The sequence below is a fragment of the Homo sapiens genome, chromosome 5, assembly GCF_000001405.40.
Source record: "Homo sapiens chromosome 5, GRCh38.p14 Primary Assembly".
Lineage (NCBI taxonomy): Eukaryota > Metazoa > Chordata > Mammalia > Primates > Hominidae > Homo > Homo sapiens.
The window spans coordinates 37,522,723-37,538,365 of NC_000005.10; the positions used below are offsets into that span (position 1 = coordinate 37,522,723).

A 15,643-nucleotide genomic window follows, 5' to 3' on the forward strand; every position below is an offset into this window, starting at 1 on the left:
TTTCCTATCCAAGGGAAGCTGTGACAGATGGCACCTGGAAAATCAGGTCACTCCCACCCTAATACTGTGCTTTTCCAACGGTCTTAGCAAACGGCACACCAGGAGATTATATTCTGTGCCTGGCTCAGAGGGTCCTGTGCCCACGGAGCCTCGCTCATTGCTAGCACAGCAGTCTGAGATCGAACTGCAAGGTGGCAGCGAGGCTGGGGAAGGGGCACCCACCAATGCTGAGGCTTGAGTAGGTAAACAAAGCAGCCGAGAAGCTTAAACTGGGTGGAGCCCACCGCAGCTCAAGGAGGCCTGCCTGCCTCTGTAGACTCCACCTCTGGGGGCAGGGCATACCTGAACAAAAGGCAGCAGAAACCTCTGCAGGCTTAAATGTCCCTGTCTGACAGCTTTGAAGAGAGTAGTGGTTCTCCTAGCATGGAGTTTGAGATCTGAGAATGAACAGACTGCCTCCTCAAGAGGTCCCTGACCCCTGAGTAGCCTAACTGGGATGCATCCCCCCAATAGGGGCAGACTGACAACCCACACAGCTGGGTACCGCTCTGAGACGAAGCTTCCAGAGGAACGATCAGGCAGCAACATTTGCTGTTCAGCAATATTCGCTGTTCTGCAGCCTCCGCTGCTGATACCCAGGCAAACAGGGCCTGGAGTGGACCTCCAGTAAACTCCAATAGACCTGCAGCTGAGGGTCCTGACTGTTAGAGGGAAAACTAACAAACAGAAAGGACATCCACACCAAAACCCCATCTGTATGTCACCATCATCAAAGACCAAAGGTAGATAAAACCACAAAGATGGGGAAAAAATAGAGCAGAAAAGCTGAAAATTCTAAAAATCAGAGCGCCTCTCCCCCTCCAAAGGAATGCAGCTCTTCACCAGCAATGGAACAAAGGTGGATGGAGAATGACTTAGACGAGTTGAGATAAGAAGGCTTCAGACGATCAAACTTCTCCGAGTTAAAGGAGGAAGTTCGAACTCACCGCAAAGAAGCTAAAAACCTTGAAAAAAGATTAGACGAATGGCTAACTAGAATAACCAGTGTAGAGAAGTCCTTAAATGACCTGATGGAGCTGAAAACCATGGCAGGAGAACTATGCGACGCATGCACAAGCTTCAATAGCTGATTCAATCAACTGGAATAAAGGGTATCAGTGATTGAAGATCAAATGAATGAAATGAAGCGAGAAGAGACGTTTAGAGAAAAAAGAGTAAAAAGAAATGAACAAAGCCGCTAAGAAATATGGGACTATGTGAAAAGACCAAATCTACGTCTGATTGGTGTACCTGAAAGTGACGGGGAGAATGGAACCAAGTTGGAAAACACTCTGCAGGATATTATCCAGGAGAACTTCCCCAACCTAGCAAGGCAGGCCAACATTCAAATTCAGGAACTACAGAGAACACCACAAAGATACTCCTCGAGAAGAGCAACTCCAAGACACATAATTGTCAGATTCACCAAAGTTGAAATGAAGGAAAAAATATTAAGGGCAGCCAGAGAGAAAGGTCGGGTTACTCACAAAGGGAAGCCCATCAGAATAACAGCTGATTTCTCGGCAGAAGCTCTACAAGCCAGAAGAGAGTGGGGGTCAATATTCAACATTCTTAAAGAAAAGAATTTTCAACCCAGAATTTCATATCCAGCCAAACTAAGCTTCATAAGTGAAGGAGAAATAAAATCCTTTACAGACAAGCAAATGCTGAGAGATTTTGTCACCACCAGGCCTGCCCTACAAGAGCTCCTGAAGGAAGCACTAAACATGGAAATAAACAACCGCTACCAGCCACTGCAAAAAAAATGCCAAATTGTAAAGACCATCGAGGCTAGGAAGAAACTGCATCAACTAACGAGCAAAATAACCAGCTAACATCATAATGACAGGATCAAATTCACACATAGCAATATTAACCTTAAATGTAAATGGGCTAAATGCTCCAATTAAAAGACACAGACTGGCAAATTGGATAAAGAGTCAAGGCCCATCAGTGTGCTGTATTCAGGAAACCCATCTCACGTGCAGAGACACACATAGGCTCAAAATAAAAGGATGGAGGAAGATCTACCAAGTAAATGGAAAACAAAAAGGTAGGGGTTGGAATCCTAGTCTCTGATAAAACAGACATTAAACCAACAAAGATCAAAAGAGAAAAGAAGGCCATTACATAATGGTAAAGGGATCAATTCAACAAGGAGAGCTAACTATCCTAAATATATATGCACCCAATACAGGAGCACCCAGATTCACAAAGCAAGTCCTTAGAGACCTACAAAGAGACTTAGACTCCTGCACAATAATAATGGGAGACTTTAACACCCCACTGTCAATATTAGATAGATCAACGAGACAGCAAGTTAAAAAGGATATCCAGGAATAGAACTCAGCTCTGCACCAAGTGGACCTTATAGACATCTACAGAACTCTCCACCCCAAATCAAAAGAATATACATTCTTCTCAGCACCACATTGCACTTATTCCAAAAGTGACCACATAGTTGGAAGTAAAGCAGTCCTCAGCAAATGTAAAAGAACAGAAATTATAAAAAACCGTCTCTCAGACCACAGTGCAATCAAACTAGAACTCAGGATTAAGAAACTCACTCAAAACCGCTCAACTACCTGGAAACTGAACAACCTGCTCCTGAATGACTTCTGGGTACATAACGAAATGAAGGCAGAAATAAAGATGTTCTTTGAAACCAGTGAGAACAAAGACACAACATACCAGAATCTCTGGGACACATTTAAAGCAGTGTATAGAGGGAAATTTATAGCACTACATGCCCACAAGAGAAAGCAGGAAATATCGTAAAATTGACACCCTAACATTACAATTAAAAGAGCTAGAGAAGCAAGAGCAAACACATTCAAAAGCTAGCAGAAGGCAAGAAATAACTAAGATCAGAGCAGAACTGAAGGAAATAGAGACACAAAAAACCCTTCAAAAAATCAGTGAATCCAGGAGCTGGTTTTTTGAAAAGATCAATAAAATTGATAGACTGCAAGCAAGACTAATAAAAGAAGAAAAGAGAGAAGAATCAAATAGATGCAATACAAAAATGATAAAGGGGATATCACCACCGATCTCACAGAAATACAAACTACCATCAGAGAATACTATAAACACCTCTAGGCAAATAAACTAGAAAATCTAGAAGAAATGGATAAATTCCTGGACACATACACCCTCCCAAGACTAAACCAGGAAGAATTTGAATCCACGAATAGAGCAATAACAGTTTCTGAAATTGAGGAAATAATTAGTAGCCTACCAACCAAAAGAAGTCCAGGACCAGATGGATTTACAGCCGAATTCTACTAGAGGTACAAGGAGGAGCTGGTACCATTCCTTCTGAAACCGTTCGAATCAATGGAAAAAGAGGGAATCCTCCCTAACTCATTTTATGAGGCCAGCATCATCTTGATAGCAAAGCCTGGCAGAGACACAACAAAAAAAGAGAATTTTAGACCAATATCCCTGATGAACATCAATGCAAAAATCCTCAATAAAATACTGACAAACCGAATCCAGCAGCCCATCAAAAAGCTTATCCACCATGATCAAGTGGGTTTCATCCCAGGGATGCAAGGCTGGTTCAACATACGCACATCAATAAACGTAATCCATCATATAAACAGAACCAAAGAAAAAACCACATGATTATCTCAATAGATGCAGAAAAGGCCTTTGACAAAATTCAATAGCCCTTCATGCTAAAAACTCTCAATAAATTAGGTATTGATGGGACATATCTCTAAATAATAAGAGCTATTTATGACAAAGCCACAGCCAATATCATACTGAATGGGCAAAAACTGAAAGCATTCCCTTTGAAAACTGCCACAAGACAGGGATGCCCTCTCTCACCACTCCTATTCAACATAGTGTTGGAAGTTCTGGCCAGGGCAATGAGGCAGGAGAAAGAAATACAGGGTATTCAATTAGAAAAAGAGGAAGTCAAATTGGCCCTGTTTGCAGATGACATGATTGTGTATTTAGAAAACCCCATCGTCTCAGCCCCAAATCTCCTTAAGCTGATAAGCAACTTCAGCAAAGTCTCAGGATCCAAAAATCAACGTGCAAAAATCACAAGCATTCTTATACAGCAATAACAGACAGAGAGCCAAATCATGAGTGAACTCCCATTCACAATTGCTTCAAAGAGAATAAAATACCTAGGAATGCAACTTACAAGGGACGTGAAGGACCTCTTCAAGGAGAACTACAAACCACTGCTCAATGAAATGAAAGAGGACACAAAGAAATGGAAGAACATTCCATGCTCATGGGTAGGAAGAATCAATATCATGAAAATGGCCATACTGCCCAAGGTAATTTATAGATTCAATGCCATCCCCATCAAGCTACCAATGACTTTCTTCACAGAATTGGAAAAAAACTACTTTTAAAGTTTATATGGAACCAAAAAAGAGCCCACATTCCCAAGATAATCCTAAGCCAAAAGTACAAAGCTGGAGGCATCACGTTACCTGACTTCAAACTATACTACAAGGCCACAGTAATCAAATCAGCATGGTACTCGTACCAAAACAGAGATATAGACCAATGGAACAAATCAGAGCCCTCAGAAAGAATACCACACATCTACAACCATCTGATCTTTGACAAACCTGACAAAAACAAGAAATGGGGAAAGGATTCCCTATTTAATAAATGATGCTGTGAAAACTGGCTAGCCATATGTAGAAAGCTGAAACTGGATCCCTTCCTTATACCTTATACAAAAATTAATTCAAGATGGATTAAAGACTTAAATGTTAGACCTAAAACTATATAAACCCTAGAAGAAAACCTAGGCAATACAATTCAGGACATAGGCATGGGCAAGGACTTATGTCTAAAACAACAAAAGCAATGGCAATGAAAGCCAAAATTAACAAATGGGGTCTAAATAAACTAAAGAGCTTCTGCACAGCAAAAGAAACTACCATCAGAGTGAACAGGCAACCTACAAAATGGGAGAAAATTTTTGCAATCTACTCATCTGACAAAGGGCTAATATCCAGAATCTAGAAAGAACTCAAAGAAACTTACAAGAAAAAAACAACCCCATCAAAAAGTGGGCAAAGGATATGAACAGACACTTCTCAAAAGAAGTCATTTATGCAGCCAACAGACACATGAAGAAATGCTCTTCATCACTGGCCATCAGAGAAATTCAAATCAAAACCACAATGAGATACCATCTCTCACCAGTTAGAATGCCGATCATTAAAAACTCAGGAAACAATGGGTGCTGGAGAGGATGTGGAGAAATAGGAACACTTTTACACTGTTGGTGGGACTGTAAACTAGGTCAACCATTTTGGAAAACAGTGTGGTGATTCCTCGAGGATCTATAACTAGAAACAGCATTTGACCCAGCCATCCCATTACTGGGTATATACCCAAAGGATTATAAATCATGCTGCTGTAAAGACACATGCACATGTATGTTTATTGCGGCACTATTCACAATAGCAAAGACTTGGAACCAACCCAAATGTCCATCAATGATAGACTGGATTAAGAAAATGTGGCACATATACACCATGGAATACTATGCAGCCATAAAAAATGATGAGTTCATGTCCGTTGTATGGACATGGATGAAGCTGGAAACCATTATTGTCAGCAAACTATCACAAGGACAAAAAACTAAACACCCCATGTTCTTACTCATAGGTGGCAACTGAACAATGAGAACCCTTGGACACAGGAAGGGGAACATCACACACCGGGGCCTGTTGTGGGTTAGGGGGAGGGGTGAGGGAGAGCATTAGGAGATATACCTAATGTAAATGATGAGTTAATGGGTGGAGCACACCAACATGGCACATGTAAACATATGTAACAAACCTGCACGTTGTACACATGTACCCTAGAACTTAAAGTATAATAAAAAAAAACTATTAATGTTTTTAGCCTACTTTTTGATGGAATTTTGTTTTTCTTATTTGATTTCCTTGTAGATTCTAGGTATTAGTCCTTTATCGGATGCAGAGATTATAAAGATTTCTCCCACTCTGTGGGTTGTCTGTTAACTCTGCTGATTATTTCTTTTGCTGTGCAGAAGGTTTTTAGTTTAATTGAGTCCCATTTATTTATCTTTGTGTTCGTTGCATTTCCTTTTGGGTTCTTGGTCATGAAGTCTTTGCCTAAGCCAATGTCTAGAGGGGGTTTTTTTTTTTTTTTGATGTTATCTTGTAGAATCTTTATGGTTTCAGGTCTTAGATTTAAATATTTGATCATTTTGAGTTGATTTTTGTATAAGATGAGAGATGAGGATCCAGTTTCATTCTTCTATATGTGGCTTGCCAATTATCCAAGCACCATTTATTGAATAGAGTGTCTTTTCCCCACTCTATGTTTTTGTTTGCTTTGTCAAAGATCAGTTGGCTGTAAGTTTTTGATTTTATTTCTGGGTTCTGTATTCTGTTCCACGGTCTTTGTGCCTATTTTTATACCAATATCACACTGTTTTGGTGACTATGGCCTTATAGTATAGTTTGAAGTCAGATAATGTGATGCCTCCAGATTTGTTGTTTTTGCTTAGTCTTGCTTTGGCTATGTGGGCTCTTTTTTGGTTCCCTATGAATTTTGAGGTTGTTTTTTCTAGTTCTGTGCAGAATCATGTTGGTATTTTGATGGAAATTGCATTCAATTTATAGATTGCTTTTGGCAGTATGGTCATTTTCACAATATTGATTCTACTCATCCATGAGCATGGGGAGTGTTTCAATTTGTTTGTGTCATCTAAGATTTTTTCAGTAGTGTTTTGTAATTTTCCTTGTAGAGGTCTTTCATGTCCTTGGTTAGGTAAATTCCTAAGTATTTATTTATTTTTTTTTGCAGCTATTGTGAAAGTGGTTGAGTTCTTGATTTGATTCTGAGTGTGGTTGCTATTGGTATATAGCAGAGCTACTGATTTGTGTACATTAATTTTGTATCCTGAAACCTTACTGAATTTATTTACCAGTTCTAGGAGCTTTTTGGATGAGTCTTTAGGGTTTTCTATTATGTGATGATATCATCAGCAAACAGTGGTCATTTGACTTCCTCTTTATCAATTTGGATGCCTTGATTTCTTTCTCTTGTCTGATTGCACTGGTTAGGACTTCCAGTACTATGTTGAGTAGAAGTGGGGAAAGTGGGCATCCTTGTCTTGTTTCAGTTCTTGCAGGAATGCTTTCAAATTTTCCCCATTCAGTATACTGTTGGCTGTGGGATTGTCATAGATGGCTTTTATTATGTTAAGGTATGTCCCTTCTATGTCAATTTTGCTGAGGGTTTTAATCATAAAACGATGTTGGATTTTGTCAAATGCTTTTTCTGCATCTCTTCAGACGATCATGTGATTTTTGTTTTTAATTCTGTTTATGTGATGTATCACATTTATTGACTTGCGGATGTTAAACCATCCCTGGTATGAAACCCACTTGATCATGGCGGATTATATTTTTGATATGCTGTTGAATTTGGTTCACTAGTATTTTGTTTAGGGTTTTTACATCTCAGGGATATTGGTCTGCAGTTTTCTTTTTTTGTTATGTCCTTCCCTATTTTGGGTATTAGAGTGATACCTGCTTCATAGAGTGATTTAGGGAAGATTCCCTCTTTCTCTATCCTGTGGAACAGTGTCAATAGTATTGCTACCAGTTCTTTGAATGTCTGATAGAATTTAGCTGTGAATTCTTCTGTCCTAGATTTTTTTTCGTTGGCAATTTTTTTTATTACCACTTCAGTCTCGCTGCTTATTATTGGTCTGTTCAGAATTTCTTTATCTTTCTGCTTTAATCTGGGAGGGTTATATATTTGGAGGAATTTATCCATCGCCTCTAGTTTTTCTAGTTTATGTGCATAAAGGTGTTCATAGTAGCCTTGAATGATCTTTTGTATTTTTGTGGTGTCAGTAGTAATATCTCCCATTTTTTTTCTAATTGTGCTTATTTGGATTTTCTGTCTTCCTTGGTTAATCTTGCTAATGGTCTGTCAATTTTATTTATCTTTTCAATAAACTAGCTTTTTGTTTCATTTATCTTTTGTTTTTTTTTTTTTCATTTCAGTTTCATTGAGTTATGCTCTGATCTTCATTATTTCTTTTCTTCTGCTGGGTTTGGATTGTTCTTATTTCTCCAGTTCCATGAGGCGTGACCTTAGATTGTCTATTTGTGCTCTTTCAGACTTTCTGATGTAGGCATTTAATGCTATGAACTTTCCTCTTAGCACCACTGTTGCTGTATCCCAGAGGTTTTGATAGGTTGTGTCACTGTCATTCAGTTCAAAGAATTTTTGAATTTCCATCTTGATTTCATTGTTGACCCAGAGATCATTCAGGAGTAGATTATTAATTTTCATGTATTTGCATGGTTTTGAGGTTCCTTTTGGAATTGATTTCCAATTTTATTCCACTGTGGTATGAGAGAGTACTCGATATAATTTTGATTTTCTTGAATTTACTGAGACTTGTTTTGTGGCATATCATATGGTCTGTCTTGGAGAATGTTCCATGTACTGATGAATAGAATATATTCTGCAGTTGTTGGGTAGAATGTTCTGTAAATATCTAAATCCATTTGTTGTATAGTTTAAGTCCATTATTTCTTTGTTGCCTTTCTGCCTTGATGACTAGTGTCAGTGGAGTATTGAAGTCCCCCTCTATTATTGTGTTGCCATCTATCTCATTTCTTAGGCCTAGTAGAATTGTTTTATAAATTCGGGAGCTCCAGTGTTAGATATATGCATACATACATATATATTTATTTAGAATTGTGGTATTTCTCTGTTGGATTAGTCCTTTTTATCATTATATGATATCATTCTTTGTATTTTTAAGCTGCTGTTGCTTTAAAGTTTTTCTTTTTTTTTTTTTTTTTTTTGTCTGATATAAGACTAGCTACTCTTGCTTGCTTTTGGCGTCCATTTCCGTGGAATGGCTTTTCAGAAGACAGCAGAAACTTGATTGTTGAATTCTTATCCATTCTGCCATTCTGTATCTTTAAGTGGAGCAGTTAGGCCATTTACGTTCAATGTTATTATTGAGATGTGAGGTACTATTCTATTCATTGTGCTATTTGTTGCCTGAATACCTTTTTTTTTTCATTGTGCTATTGTTATACAGGTCCTGTGAGATTTATGCTTTAAGGAGGCTCTATTTTGTTGTATTCTGAGGATTCGTTTCAAAATTTAGAGCTCCTTTTAGCAGTTCTTGTAGTGTTGGCCTGGTAGTGGCGAATTCTCTCAGCATTTTTTTATCTAGAAAAGACTGTACCTTTCCTTCATTTATGAAGCTTAGTTTCACTGGATACAAAATTCTTAGCTGAAAATTGTTTTGTTTAAGGAGGCTAAAAACAGGACCCTAGTCTCTCCTAGCTTGAGGGATTTCTGCTGAGAAATCTGCTGTTAATCCAACAGGTTTTCCTTTATAGGTTACCTGGTGCTTTTGTCTCACAGCTCTGAAGATTCTTTTTATTGTCTTGACTTTTGATAACCTGATGACTGTGTGCCTAGGCAATGATCTTTTTGTGATGAGTTTCCCAGGTGTTCTTTGAGCTTCTTGTATTTGGATATCTAGATCTCTAGCAAGGCCAGGGAAGTTCTCCTTAATTATTCCCTCAAATATGTTTTCCAAAGTTTTAGATTTCTCTTCTTCCTTAGGAACACCAATTATTTTTAGGTTTGTTTGTTTAACATAATCCCAGAGTTCTTGGGGCTTTGTTCATTTTTAAAAATTCTTTCTTCTTTGTCCTTGATGGATTGGGTTAATTCAAAAGCCTTGTCTTCGAGCCCTGAAGTTCTTTCTTCTGCTTGTTCAGTTCTATTGCTGAGACTTTCCAGTGTATTTTGCATTTCTCTGAGTGTGTCCTTGACTTCCAGAAGTTGTGATTGTTTTTTGCTTATGCTATCTATTTCACTGAAGAATTTTCCTTTCCTATCCTGTATCATGTTTTTGATTTCTTTAAGTTGAAATTCACCTTTCTCTGTTGACTCCGTGATTCGCTTAATAATCGACCTTCTAAATTCTTTTTCTGGCAATTGAGATATTTCATTTTCATTTAGATCCATTGCTGGTGAGCTAGTATGATCTTTTGGGGGTGTTAAAGACCCTTGCTTTGTCATATTGCCAGAGTTGTTTTTCTGGTTCCTTCTCATTTGGGTAAATTATGTCAGAGGGAAGATCTGGGATTCAAGGTGGCTGTTCAGATTCTTCTGTCCCATGGGGTGCTCCCTTGATGTGTTGTTCTCCCCTTTCTCCTAGGAATGAGGCTCCCTGAGAGCCGAACTGGAGTGATTGTTTTTGTTCTTCTGAGTCTAGCCGTCCAGTGGAGCTACTGAGCTTCAGGCTGGTACTGGGGTGTGTCCGCAAAGAGTCCTGTGATATGATTCATCTTCAGGTCTTGCAGCCCTGGATAGCAGCACCCGAACCAGTAGAGGTAGCAGGGGAGTGAAGTGGACTCTGTGAGCATCCTTGGTTGTGTTTTTGTTTGGTGCGTCATTTTGTGTTGGTTGGCCTCCAGCCAGGAGGTGGTGCTTTCAAGAGTGCATCAGCTGTGGTCCTATAGCGAGGATGTGGACTTGCCCTACGGGCTGGGCACAGTGTCTTATTCCTGTAATCCCAGCACTTTGGCCGAGATGGGCGTATCACTTGAGGTCAGGAGTTCGACACTATCCTGACCAACATGGTGAATCCCTGTCTCTACTTAAAACAACAACAAAACAACAAAACAATCACCACCACCACCACCACCACCACCACCACCACCACCACCACCACGTTCTAGGAATACCTGGTTAAGTATTCAGGTTTTTCAGGCAGTGGGCGGGGCCATAGAGCTTTCAAGAGATTTTGACCTTTGTCTTTGGTTACCTGGGCAAGTAGAGAAAAACCACCAGCTTGGGGAAGGGATAGGTGTGTCTGTGCTCATTCCCTCCTTGGGCATGGGGCTCGCTTTGGCTGCTGTGGGGGATGGGGGTGTGGTTCCTAGTCCAATGGAGTTATATTCCCAGGGAGATTATGGCTGCCTCTGCTGAGTTACACAGGTTACCAGGGAAGTGGGGGAAAGCCTGCAGTCACAGACCTGTCTCCACTCCCATGCAGTCCCCAGTCCTAAAGGCCAGTCTCATTCCTGCCGTGCCCCCTCACCTGCATCGAGTCTATTTCCAGGCAGCTGGTGACCAGGGCTGAGAACTTGCCCCAGACCGTGAACCTCCCTGTTGAGAAAGCAAGCAGACTTACAGTTTTTCGGTGACTCAGGGAGCCTGCAGTGGTGATCCAGTTACCTCAAAGGGTCTATGGATTCTCTCAGCTTTCCTGGTATGTTCCTGTGGAAATTCTTGGTGCTGCTATCCAGGGCTGCAAGACCTGAAGATGAATCATATCACAGGACTCTTTGCAGACACACCCTAGTACCAGCCTGAAGTTCTGCTCAATACTGTTCATGAACACTGTTCATGATGTGAGTCTCTACACACTGCTCTGCCTGTCTGAGCGGGAGCTGCAAGCTAGTCCTGCCTCCTATTCGCCATCTTAAAGTCCATTTAAAAGGTTTTGAATGGGGTATAAGGAAATCTATTTAACTGTATTAATTCTCTAAACAACAGTTTAGATAAAGTTCCACAGGTGTGACATCTTTTACTGGGTATAAAATGTAGTTTATCCCATTCCTTTAAAAGATAATTCTTTAGTTCCCTGTCCAAATCATTGATTTCATAGTATATTGTACCTTTGAAAATGCATATCAGTTTTTCCCCCCATACTGTACAAATCAGGCTTTTTTTTTTTTTTTGTGACAAAAGTCTTGCTCTGTCGCCCAGGCTGGAGTGCAGAGGCACAATTTGGGCTCACTGCAACCTCCGCCCCCTGGGTTCAAGCGATTATCCTGCCTCAGCCTCCTGAGTAGCTGGGATTACAGGCTCCCACCACCACACCTGGCTAATTTTTGTATTTTTAGTAGAGTCTAGGCTGGTCTCGAACTCCTGACCTCAGGTGATCCGCCCGCCTCAGCCTCCCAAAGTTCTGGGATTACAGGCATGAGCCATCGCACCTGGCCACAAGTCAGGCTTTCTTCAGCCATAGTTCTGTGTGAGGATCAGGAATCTTTAATTGTAGACTCCCATTATATATATTCTTTACAACCTTTTAGAGAAATCTGCCAGTAATAAATTCAGATGGTTTGCTGTTTGGTTGATTTTTTTTTTTCTCACCTCAGAGTGTAGTAATTAGTTATAAGTTAAGCTGTGGAATATCAACCCAGTTGCCTGTTTCACTCAGCAAATATTGTTTGCTCACTATGTGATCTAAGTTTCTGCCTTCATAGGGCTTATATTCTAGTGTAGATGAGTGCTGGGAGACAGATAAGGTACAGCTAGTAATAAATAAATAAAATAGTTTCTCTAGTAGTAAGTGTTAAGAGTAAAGTTAAAGCAAAACGATAAAGAGTAGGAGAGAGGGGTCTACTGCACGTAGAGTAGTCAGAGAAAGCCTTGGAATTGACTTTTTTTTTTTTAAGTTGAGGCTTAAATTATGCAAAGGAGGCAGCCACAGGGAAAGAACTTTTCCTGGACAAAATCCTATTATATTTAATGGCCTTGAAATGTGAATGCAATATGGCATATTTGAGGGAAAGAAAAGACTAGTAGTTGACATTTCATAGATTGGTAGGAAAAGTGAGAGTGATAGGAAATGAGTTTGGAAAAGAGGACAGGGCCACTGAAATAAGGTGTTGTGGGCTAAAATATAAAGTGCTAAAATTTTAAAGTAATGACAAGCCAAGCCATTGAAGAGTACTAAATCTGTACTGTATTTTTAAAATTAAATTAAAATTTAAAAAATTGACTCTTGCTCCTCTCTGGAAGTACCATAATATTATTGGAAAGTCAAAGTCAATAGAAATGGTCTCTTCACAGGTTGTTAACATTTTCCAGTGAGGTAACATTGGGATACTAGCTCATAATAGTTAACATTTATTGAGAACTTAATATATACCAGCACTGGGCAATACATATTATATGTCTGAAGCACTTTATATTATGTTTTCTTCACAGCAGTCGGATAGGTGGTAATGTTATTACATATTCTAAATGAAGAAACTGATTATATTTTTCCCAAGGACACATAATTCCAAGTGTTGCTTGGATAACATGAGCCAGAATGTGAACCCACTGAGTGGTTTGTACACTTTATGAATGGTTGTCACAAACGTGATGATGATTGATTTACAGATATAGGCAGAAGATGCAAATCTCTTTTATATAAGTAATGGATACAAGAACTTACTTTTTAGAAACATGTTGCAGTATTCTCCCCTTTGGAAGGACAAATTTCCTTTGCATTGAATTTCTCTTGTAGGGCACTACAGTGGTGGTGCTACCACATTGTCTGACTGTGATGAGGATTATCTTACTCATCTCCAAGATCTCATCAGTATAAGTAGACTGGGTTTCATTGTATTCCCATGGTTTCTTAGCAATCTGTTATTTCTTTTAGATAAGATATATGTATATTCCTTCTTGCTGAAGACAGCAGATAAAATTGAAAATAGCCATCAAATAAAAGCAGTTTCATTACTTCTCTTCAAATCCTAATATATGGCTTTTGTTTTAAAATATTTTTTTCTTAAAGTATGTTGGATTTGGCACATAACATTATTAAAATAAAGAAATTTTATTCTACAGGTTGAGTAAATGTTACCTGAAATGCTGGGGACCAGAAGTATTTTGGATTTCAGATTTTTTTTAGATTTTGGAATATTTGTATTACTGGTTGAGTATCCCTAAACTGAAAATCTGCAATAAATAATGCCTCAAAAAGCACTCAGAAAGTTACAGATTTTGGAGGATTTTGGATTTTTGGATTAGGGATACTCAAACCTGTATTTCTAATTTTATCATAGGTGTTGAACTTCATCAAATGGTTTTTCCTAATATTTGATGTAATCTTGCTGTTGTTTTTCTTTTGGTCTTTTATTGTGCAGAAGTTTATTAATATATTTTCTGATGTTAAACTAGTCTTACATTCCTGTAGTAAACCATAGTTTTTCACTGAAAAAAAATTCTGCTCTATTTAGGAATTTTGTATTTTATTTACAATTTCAATTTTATGTTGACAAGAAAATTTTTTTTTCCTCTCTAGAGGACTTTTAAATTCTTTTTGTAATACCTTTATTGGACTTTGGAACAGAGATACTGGCCTCTTAAAATGAAGAATATTTCCCTCATTTTCTATTATCTGGCCCCATGTCCAAGTTCCCCATTTCTCCAGAAGGTGGATTTTATAACCATAGCCATAAATAAAAACCTTATGGAACCTCTAAGGTCATCTAACAATTTGAATTAAAATCCAAACCCCGGGAATACAGAATTGTTTTTCAAAGTTTGCTTTGTTTTTAAGTTTAGTTTCTCAGATATTTTTTGGAAAAGGTATGTTTAATAAATCTAGAAGAAATTTTAGCAGTAAGCGGAAGCAGTTGGGAAGAAAATACTGTATATGACAAAAATTTTGGGAAAATATCCATGATATAAGAAAGTGTACTCATATTGCATCTGGGTTGAATGCTCCCATAAAGGAAAGGTGAGTGGACCTGGACATGTAAACATAGGAAGTGGGAAGGAGAGGCAAAGGAGCACAGGAATGGGATCTGTGGGCTTGTAAATATAATCTGATGAATAGTAGTTTGATTAAAATGTACTTGCAAGTCTTTCTCAGTCCAAGAGAGAATATGACTTGAATTGAGCTATCAATATTTAAAAATAATGACCGCTACTACTCCACAAGGTTAGGAGGAGTACATATATTATCCTTGGAGATCAAAAGCTTCCATTGTTTAAAATGGGCAATTAGCACCCAGAATCATGGTTCTGTTTTTTTATCCTAAGACATTAGGGTAAAAAGCTTTTAATTTTATTATTGGTTTTATTAAATGGCTTAATTTTATTGTTGAGCAAACTCTGGATTAACAGGATAAACAAAGTAAAATTGCTAATACTTCTGATTATACTTCATTGTGATTGTCAAATGAATATTTTACCACATGACACTATAAAATATCCTAGATATTTTTCAGAAAGAAATAAGAATAACCATGGTATATTTGTTACTTTCCTTCATACTGGAAAACTGCATGGATTGTCGAGAACAACTAGCATCTGATCAGGCATCATCAGAATTCGTAGGTCTAATACTGTAAAGTTTTGGATTAAGAAATACTCTTTTGGTTCAGGAATTAGTTCAGTGAGGGCCTTTGGGCAAAATTCACTCTATATTTCTTAGAGAATCTTATATATCAGAGTGCCACTCTGCTTTTCATTGCTTTATCTTATTCTCTTCTACGTTGGTTAGCATGGCAGAGAGAAACATCAACTGCACGTTTTATAAACTCCTCACTCCCTTGGAAGACTTTATTGAGGGCTATTTAGGTTTTAAATTAGGATCATTTTAGCAGGCTCTGTTGTATTCATAATGGTAGTATCTTCTTCTTTTTCGCATTCTTGCTTTCTATCTCTCCTCTCCTGCCTCTCATTTTGGGCAACTGGAAGCTACATATTTTGAATACTATGACCATGGTGTAGATAGCCTCTGGATAAAAGTTTATTCATCTCAACACCTCTTGTATTATCACAGCGTTATGCACTTACTGCT

General features: G+C 38.5%; 1 protein-coding gene across 5 annotated transcripts in view, besides 1 other annotated feature; it reads left to right on the forward strand.

Moving 5' to 3' along the window:
* Window positions 1-15,643, forward strand: part of WDR70 (WD repeat domain 70) — a 374,118-nt gene that overhangs the window by 143,405 nt on the left and 215,070 nt on the right. The window lies entirely within an intron of this gene.
* Window positions 10,572-11,771: an enhancer, noted in NCBI's record as "CDK7 strongly-dependent group 2 enhancer chr5:37533396-37534595 (GRCh37/hg19 assembly coordinates)". NCBI's record gives its function as "activates an origin of replication core promoter dependent on BRD2, BRD4, P300/CBP, MED14 and CDK7 cofactors, with strong dependence on CDK7, by STARR-seq in HCT116 cells {active_cell/tissue: HCT116}" and the evidence as "EXISTENCE:reporter gene assay evidence [ECO:0000049][PMID:35650434]".